Source organism: Homo sapiens, chromosome 1 (assembly GCF_000001405.40).
Source record: "Homo sapiens chromosome 1, GRCh38.p14 Primary Assembly".
NCBI classification, from domain to species: domain Eukaryota; kingdom Metazoa; phylum Chordata; class Mammalia; order Primates; family Hominidae; genus Homo; species Homo sapiens.
In genome coordinates this window covers 162,464,270-162,471,482 of record NC_000001.11, presented here as the reverse complement: position 1 = coordinate 162,471,482, position 7,213 = coordinate 162,464,270, and the positions used below count along the sequence as shown (strand labels likewise).

Below are 7,213 nucleotides of genomic sequence, written 5' to 3'. Positions count from 1 at the left end.
CAGACGAGTTAGAGGCAGAACCAAGACCACAACTTTTTTCTCCCACATGCTTCCACAGCTCCCCTGCCCACCTCACCTCTTCATTCACCAACTCTTTACATTGCAGCAACGAGGCAGAATAGTGAACCGAATAGTTTATGTAGTAAATAATCACAAAGTAATCCAGACAAAAAGCAGGGAGGCAATTAGAATTGTTAAAAATAGGGCCTCCAAAAAATATTCAGAGCTAATTTCAAATCCTGGTTTTTCTACTAACTGTGTAACCTTAAGGAAGTCACTGAACCCCCTGTTTCTCTGTCTGAAAAATGGGGATAATAGTAGTTGCCTTAGGATTTTGGAGATTAAATCTAGTGATATCTACACAATGTTGTACGGCATATGAGTCAGAAACTGCATTTGGGTTCATGTAAGAGAGAATCCAAATAACAGAGGCTTAACTATCTCACATCCATTAGGATGACCACCATAAAAAAAGAGAAAGAAAAAAAAAAAGAACAAGTGTTTGTGAGAAATTGGAATCCTTGTGCACTCTTGGTGGGAATGTAAAATGGCCCACTTGCTGTGAAAACCAGAATGTGGTTCCTCAAAAAGTTAAAAATAGAATTATCATGTTTTAGCAATTTCACTTCTGGTTATATACTCCCAAAGAATGTAAAGCAGGGTCCCAAAGCAGTGTTTGTGTACCCATTGTATACCCATGTTAATAGCAGCATTATGCACAATGTTCAAAAAGGTGGAAGCAACCCAAGTGTCCATCAGTGGATGAATGGATAAAAAAAAGGCGGTGTATACACATAACGCAGTTTTATTCAGCCTTCACAAGGAAGAAAATTCTGACGTGCTCCAACATGAATGAACCTTGAAGACATAATACTAAGTAAAATGAGCCCATCACAAAAAGACAAAAGCTGTGTGATTCCACTTACATAAGGTACCTAGAGTAATCGAATTCATTGAGACAGAAAGTAGAATGGTGGCTGCCAGGGGCTGGGGAAAGGAGAGACTGGGGAGTTTTTTAAGGAGTATAGAGTTTCAATTTTGCGAGATAAGAAGAGTTCCAGAGATGGTTGGTGGTAATGGTTGCACAACAATGTGAATGTACTTAACATTATCTACTTGTGCAACTAAAAATGGCTTTCATGGTAAACTATATGTTATGCATAGTTTACCAAAAATAAAAAACAATTCTGCTACAACAAATAAACAGTACATCTTATAAAAAACAAGAATAGTAACAGAGGCTTAATCAAACAGAGATTTATTTTTCTCATGGAACAAGAAGGCTGGGGGAAGGCAGTAGAAAGCCAGAATGGACTTCTTTTATGCCATTAGGGACCCAGGAGCCTTCTGCCTTTCTGCTGTGCCAGTATTAGTGAGGTAGACCTGTTTCTGTCCCTCTGCATCCATTCTCTTGTTCTTCTGTTACTAATAGAATTTTGCCTGGATTTCCTGGCCTCTCTCTCAGCTCGGTGAGGTCATGTGACTAAGTAGAAGCTAATGGGGTATGAATGGAAATAATGTGTACCCCTGTGGGTCTTAACATCATCAGAACCAGGTGTGTGCTTTCTTGGTCTCTACCCACCTTCCCAAAGGCCATGAAATGTTGAAGGTGAAGAAAATGCATTCATCACAGAGATGGAAGCCACATCGTGAATGGCAGAGGCCTGAATTGCAAACTCTAGAGACAGAGAAATAAACTCTCTTATCTAAGACACTGTACTTTCAGTCTCTTTGTCACAGCCGATTAGCCTATAGCCCAATTAACATATAGACTGACCCTAACTTCTGATGGCTGGACTTAAAAATTTTGGACTTCATGATGGTATGCATCAGTAGAAATTGTATATCAAGTACTCATCAGCCATTGTGTTTTCACTTACAGTACAGTAGTCAATAAATTACATAAGATATTCAAAACTTTTTTATATAATAGGCTTTGTGTTAGATGGTTTTGTCCAACTCTAGGCTAACATTAGTGTTCTCAGTGCGTTTAAGGTACGCTAGGCTAAGCTATGGTGTTCTGTAGGTTAGGTGTACTACATTAATTTTTTTCTGAGAGATGGCATCTCACTGTGTTTCCCAAGCTGGTGTCAAACTCCTGGGACCAAACAATTCTCCTGCTTCAGCCTCCTAAAGTGCTGGGATTACAGGCGTAAGCCACTGTGCCCACCCTGATGCATTTTTGACTTCCGATGTTTTCAACTTACGATGGATTTATTGGGACGTAAACCAAGGAGCATCTGTATTAGCACCTGGTTTTCATTGTCTCAGTTGCTTCACGGGTACAACATAGCTAATTCATCTTCAATTTATGTTTGTATTCCATACATGAATAAGGAAATGACAGGGAAGAAGATGCAATGTCTATGGGAGACAAGCAACTTCCCAGCAATTCCCTGGCAATTACGTATCAAGGTCTTATTGACCAGACCTGTGTAGTGTGGCCACCCCTAGCTGCAAGAGAGGCTAGGTGTGTGAAGTTCTTTTTCTTTGTGCACATCATTGTCTTAAAATAAGGATTCTATTAGTAAGGAAGGTGTTAATTAGTAAGGAAGGTGGATATTGGGTGGCAATTATTAGTGTAAGCCACAGTAAGTAACAACAATGGTTTATTATTATTAAAATACTATTACATTATCATAATTAACAAATTCATCATTGGGATCTGGTCAAAATTAATTTTCCAGTGTTAACTTTGAAGGTATTGATATTTTCATTTGAACCACCATAGAATTTGACAAAGACTAGGCGCTTGTTATAACAAGACAATTATGTAATTATTATAGCTCTGTTTATTCATTTGTTTATTCATATTCTTCTGTACTTACTAAGTGCCAGTCATTGTATTAGCTATTAAACAAAAGGAAGAGAGCAACATGGGGACATAAGTCATAATCTTGATACAAAACCAGGATAGTTCAAGAAAGGAAATGTATAGACCTGTCTCACTCATGAGCATAATTCCAAATATCTTAAACAAAATAACTGGCAAAATTATACTGAGCAAAAGACTTACACAGATTACTTACCTTATGATTCCACTTATAGGACATTTTCCAAAGGTCAAAACTAATTTACGGTGAGAAAAATCATAAATGTGTTTGTCTCTGGTCGGGTTGGGGCAGAAATGGACTGGGATGAGACACAAATAAATTTTAAGGATAATGGTAGTGTTTCATATCTTGATAAAAATTTGATTTTCACAATGTACATATTTAAGTTTCACAGTTTATGTATTTGGAGTTGATACCATTCAAGAATGCTAAAGCCAAACACCTCTATTATGTTGAAGAGTAACTCTTGCGGTATAATGCAGAAAATGTCCTAGAGGATGGTGAGACTCCTCTCCTGCATTCAGTTAGCATTTACTGAATGCCTGCTCTGTACATATTGTGTGTTAGGTGCTAGGGACAAAAAAATTGTGTTAAGATAGAGTTCTTGTCTTAAATAAGTGATTCTTAAACTAGAGGTTTTTATCAGATGCCTTGGGGAGCTAAAAAAAAAAAAAAAAAAAAAGGCTGGAAGCAGACCAAGTATAAATATGCACAAATACTGTTATTAGAAACAGTTAAAAAGATAGAATCTGGATTCTAAAGTGTTAAAGAGGATGCAGCGAGTGTAGAATATATGTAAATGGTTTGGCAGAATATTCTTTCTCATTTCAGATAATTTTATACTTAACAGCCATGATTACAACATATGTCTATTCTAACACTGCTCAATAGCTACATTTCATAAGCTTGTGATAAAATTGGGTAAAAAGATACAGGATTTTTTTTTTCTTTGAGCTTTTCTGTAAACATAACTCCCCATTATAAGTATCTGACTCCCCATTGTAAGTATCAGAAATGTACTCTATCCTTGAATTATGCAAATCCGTGTCTCTTTTGTTCTCAAAAGAACCACCTGCATATTTAAAGCTGTCATCATTCATTCATTCATTTCATAATGAATGAATGAATTGAACATTCATTCATAAATTCATAATTTAAAGGTGTCATAATTCATTCATTCATTTATTCATTCATTCATTTCACAGGTATTTTTGGTGAGTCCATAGAACAGACACCGTTCCAGGAACTTGAGATACATCAGTGAACAGAATTAAGGTCCTTGACTTCGTTCAGCTTATGTTCTACCCAGAGAATTCAGACAAAAACAATACTCTTAATAGGTTAGTAAATTATATAGTAGGTACAAAAGTTATAAGTGCATTAATAAAACATTATGTTTTAATTTTAAAAAGCAGAGTAAGGGAAACCAAGAGTGCCTGAAGGTGGGGTGAGGGGAGCTACAATTTTCAGAGGAGCAGTCTAGGCAGGACTCATTGAGATGACAGCATTTAAACAAAGACTTAAAGGAGGTGAGAGAATTAGCTATGTGAATCTGCAGAAGGAGCCATCCTGCAGCAAGAACAGCCAGTGTGAAGGCTTAGTTTCTGAGGCACGCCAAGTGTGCTTAAGAGGGACTGGGCAGCCAGGGTGGCTGAGGCTGAGTGAGCAAGAGGGAGGGTAGGAGATGAGGCCAGAGAGGAGCGGGGCAGTGGAACAGATCATCAGGGCTTCGTAGCCTAGTAGAGCATTTGACTTTTACTGTAAGTGAAAGGGGAAATGGTTTGCAGGGGTTTTTTTGTTTGTTTGTTTGTTTGTTTGTTTTTATTTTTATTTATTTATTTTTTTATTGTTCATTCTTGGGTGTTTCTCGCAGAGGGGGATTTGTCAGGGTCATAGGACAATAGTGGAGGGAAGGTCAGCAGATAAACAAGTGAACAAAGGTCTCTGGTTTTCCTAGGCAGAGGACCCTGCGGCCTTCCGCAGTGTTTGTGTCCCTGGGTACTTGAGATTAGGGAGTGGTGATGACTCTTAAGGAGCATGCTGCCTTCAAGCATCTGTTTAACAAAGCACATCTTGCACCGCCCTTAATCCATTTAACCCTGAGTGGACACAGCACATGTTTCAGAGAGCACAGGGTTGGGGGCAAGGTCACAGATCAACAGGATAAGAATTTTTCTTAGTACAGAGCAAAACAAAAAGTCTCCCATGTCTACCTCTCTCCACACAGACACGGCAACCATCCGATTTCTCAATCCTTTCCCCACCTTTCCCCCCTTTCTACTCCACAAAACCGCCATTGTCATCATGGCCCGTTCTCAATGAGCTGCTGGGCACACCTCCCAGACGGGGTGGTGGCCGGGCAGAGGGGCTCCTCACTTCCCAGTAGGGGCAGCCAGGCAGAGGCGCCCCTCACCTCCCGGACGGGGCGGCTGGCCGGGCGGGGGGCTGACCCCCCCACCTCCCTCCCGGACGGGGTGGCTGGCCGGGCAGAGGGGCTCCTCACTTCCCAGTAGGGGCGGCCGGGCAGAGGCGCCCCTCACCTCCCAGACGGGGTTGCGGCGGGGTAGAGGCGCTCCTCACATCCCAGACGGGGCGGCGGGGCAGAGGCGCTCCCCACATCTCAGACGATGGGCGGCCGGGCACAGACGCTCCTCACTTCCTAGATGGGATGGCGGCCGGGAAGAGGCGCTCCTCACTTCCTAGATGGGATGGCGGCCGGGCAGAGACGCTCCTCACTTTCCAGACTGGGCAGCCAGGCAGAGGGGCTCCTCACGTCCCAGACGATGGGCGGCCAGGCAGAGACGCTCCTCACTTCCCAGACGGGGTGGCAGCTGGGCAGAGGCTGCAATCTCGGCACTTTGGGAGGCCAAGGCAGGCGGCTGGGAGGTGGAGGTTGTAGCGAGCCGAGATCACGCCACTGCACTCCAGCCTGGGCACCATTGAGCACTGAGTGAACCAGACTCTGTCTGCAACCCCGGCACCTCGGGAGGCCGAGGCTGGCGGATCACTCGCGGTTAGGAGCTGGAGACCAGCCTGGCCAACACAGCGAAACCCCGTCTCCACCAAAAAAGTACGAAAACCAGTCAGGCGTGGCGGCGCGCGCCTGCAATCGCAGGCACTCGGCAGGCCGAGGCAGGAGAATCAGGCAGGGAGGTTGCAGTGAGCCGAGATGGCAGCAGTACAGTCCAGCTTCGGCTCGGCATCAGAGGGAGACCGTGGAAAGAGAGGGAGACCGTGGGGAGACGGAGAGGGAGAGGGAGAGGGAGAGGGAGAGGGAGAGGTTGAGGTTTGCAGGGTTTTGAGCAAAGGAAAAACAAGGTCTGATTAAACTTTTTTTTTTTTTTTTTTTTTAGAAAGGGTCTCTGCCACCCAGGCTGAAGTGCAGTGGTGTGATCTCAGCTTACTGCAGCATCCACCTCCAGAGCTCAAGCGATCCTGCCACCTCAGCCTCCCAAGTAGCTGGGACTAAAGGTGTGCACAACCATGCCCAGATGATTTCTGTATCTTCTGTATAGACGAGGTTTCATCATATTGCTCAGGCTGGTCTTGAACTTCTGGGCTCAAGTGATCCTCCCACTTTGGCCTCCCAAAGTGCTGGGATTACAGGTGTGAACCACTGCACCCTGCCTGACTAAACTGTTAAAAGATCTCTTTGATGGTTATGTTGAGAATAGATGGAAAAAGAGCAAAACTATAAGCAGAGAGACAATAGGAGGCTATTCCAGTAATCCAGATATCGGAGGGACCTAAATCTGTCTTGCAGCCTGTTCTCTTGCCTATCAGAGACACAAAGAGACAGAGGCATATCACTGAGGGATGTGGTGAAAGAAGTAACAAGCACAAATCTGGGAGGCGGTCTCCCAGCTTTTTAGTGTTACCACATATAAGTGTATTTGTTCACCTGGTGAGTTAGCTTACTAGAGAGGTAACAGCTCCTAGGTGTAAGACCCAATACAGGTCTTATCTTACACCTAAGCCTGATAATGACAAGATCTGGGCACCAACAAAGTAGCACTGGGGAGACTGGCCAGGGCTGGTGAGACTAAGCAAGGGGAACCTAAAGGAGGAGGGGAAACAATGATGCTGAGGGCATGCTTCATTCATTCAAGAGATATTTATGAGTATTTGGAATGTGCTAGAAACTCTACTAGGCAGTAGAAAAAGACAGAAGATATAGTACCTGTCCTTAAAAAGCTTGCAATCTAGTTGAGGAGACCAAAACAAAAACAAAAACAAATAATTGTGCATCAGTGAGATAACTACAATATTTGAAGTGTGGGCCAGGCACTGTGGCTCACGCCTATAATCCCAACACTGGGAGGCTGAGGCAGCCAGATAGCTTGGGTCCAGGAGTTTGAGACCAGCCCAGGTAACATAGC

General features: G+C 43.3%; 2 annotated features.

The window, feature by feature from the left end:
• Positions 5,168-5,770: an enhancer, noted in NCBI's record as "H3K27ac-H3K4me1 hESC enhancer chr1:162435503-162436105 (GRCh37/hg19 assembly coordinates)". NCBI's record gives its function as "activates a minimal SCP1, AML or CMV promoter by ChIP-STARR-seq in naive H9 embryonic stem cells {active_cell/tissue: H9 hESC(naive)}" and the evidence as "EXISTENCE:reporter gene assay evidence [ECO:0000049][PMID:30033119]".
• Positions 5,771-6,375: an enhancer, noted in NCBI's record as "H3K27ac-H3K4me1 hESC enhancer chr1:162434898-162435502 (GRCh37/hg19 assembly coordinates)". NCBI's record gives its function as "activates a minimal SCP1, AML or CMV promoter by ChIP-STARR-seq in naive H9 embryonic stem cells {active_cell/tissue: H9 hESC(naive)}" and the evidence as "EXISTENCE:reporter gene assay evidence [ECO:0000049][PMID:30033119]".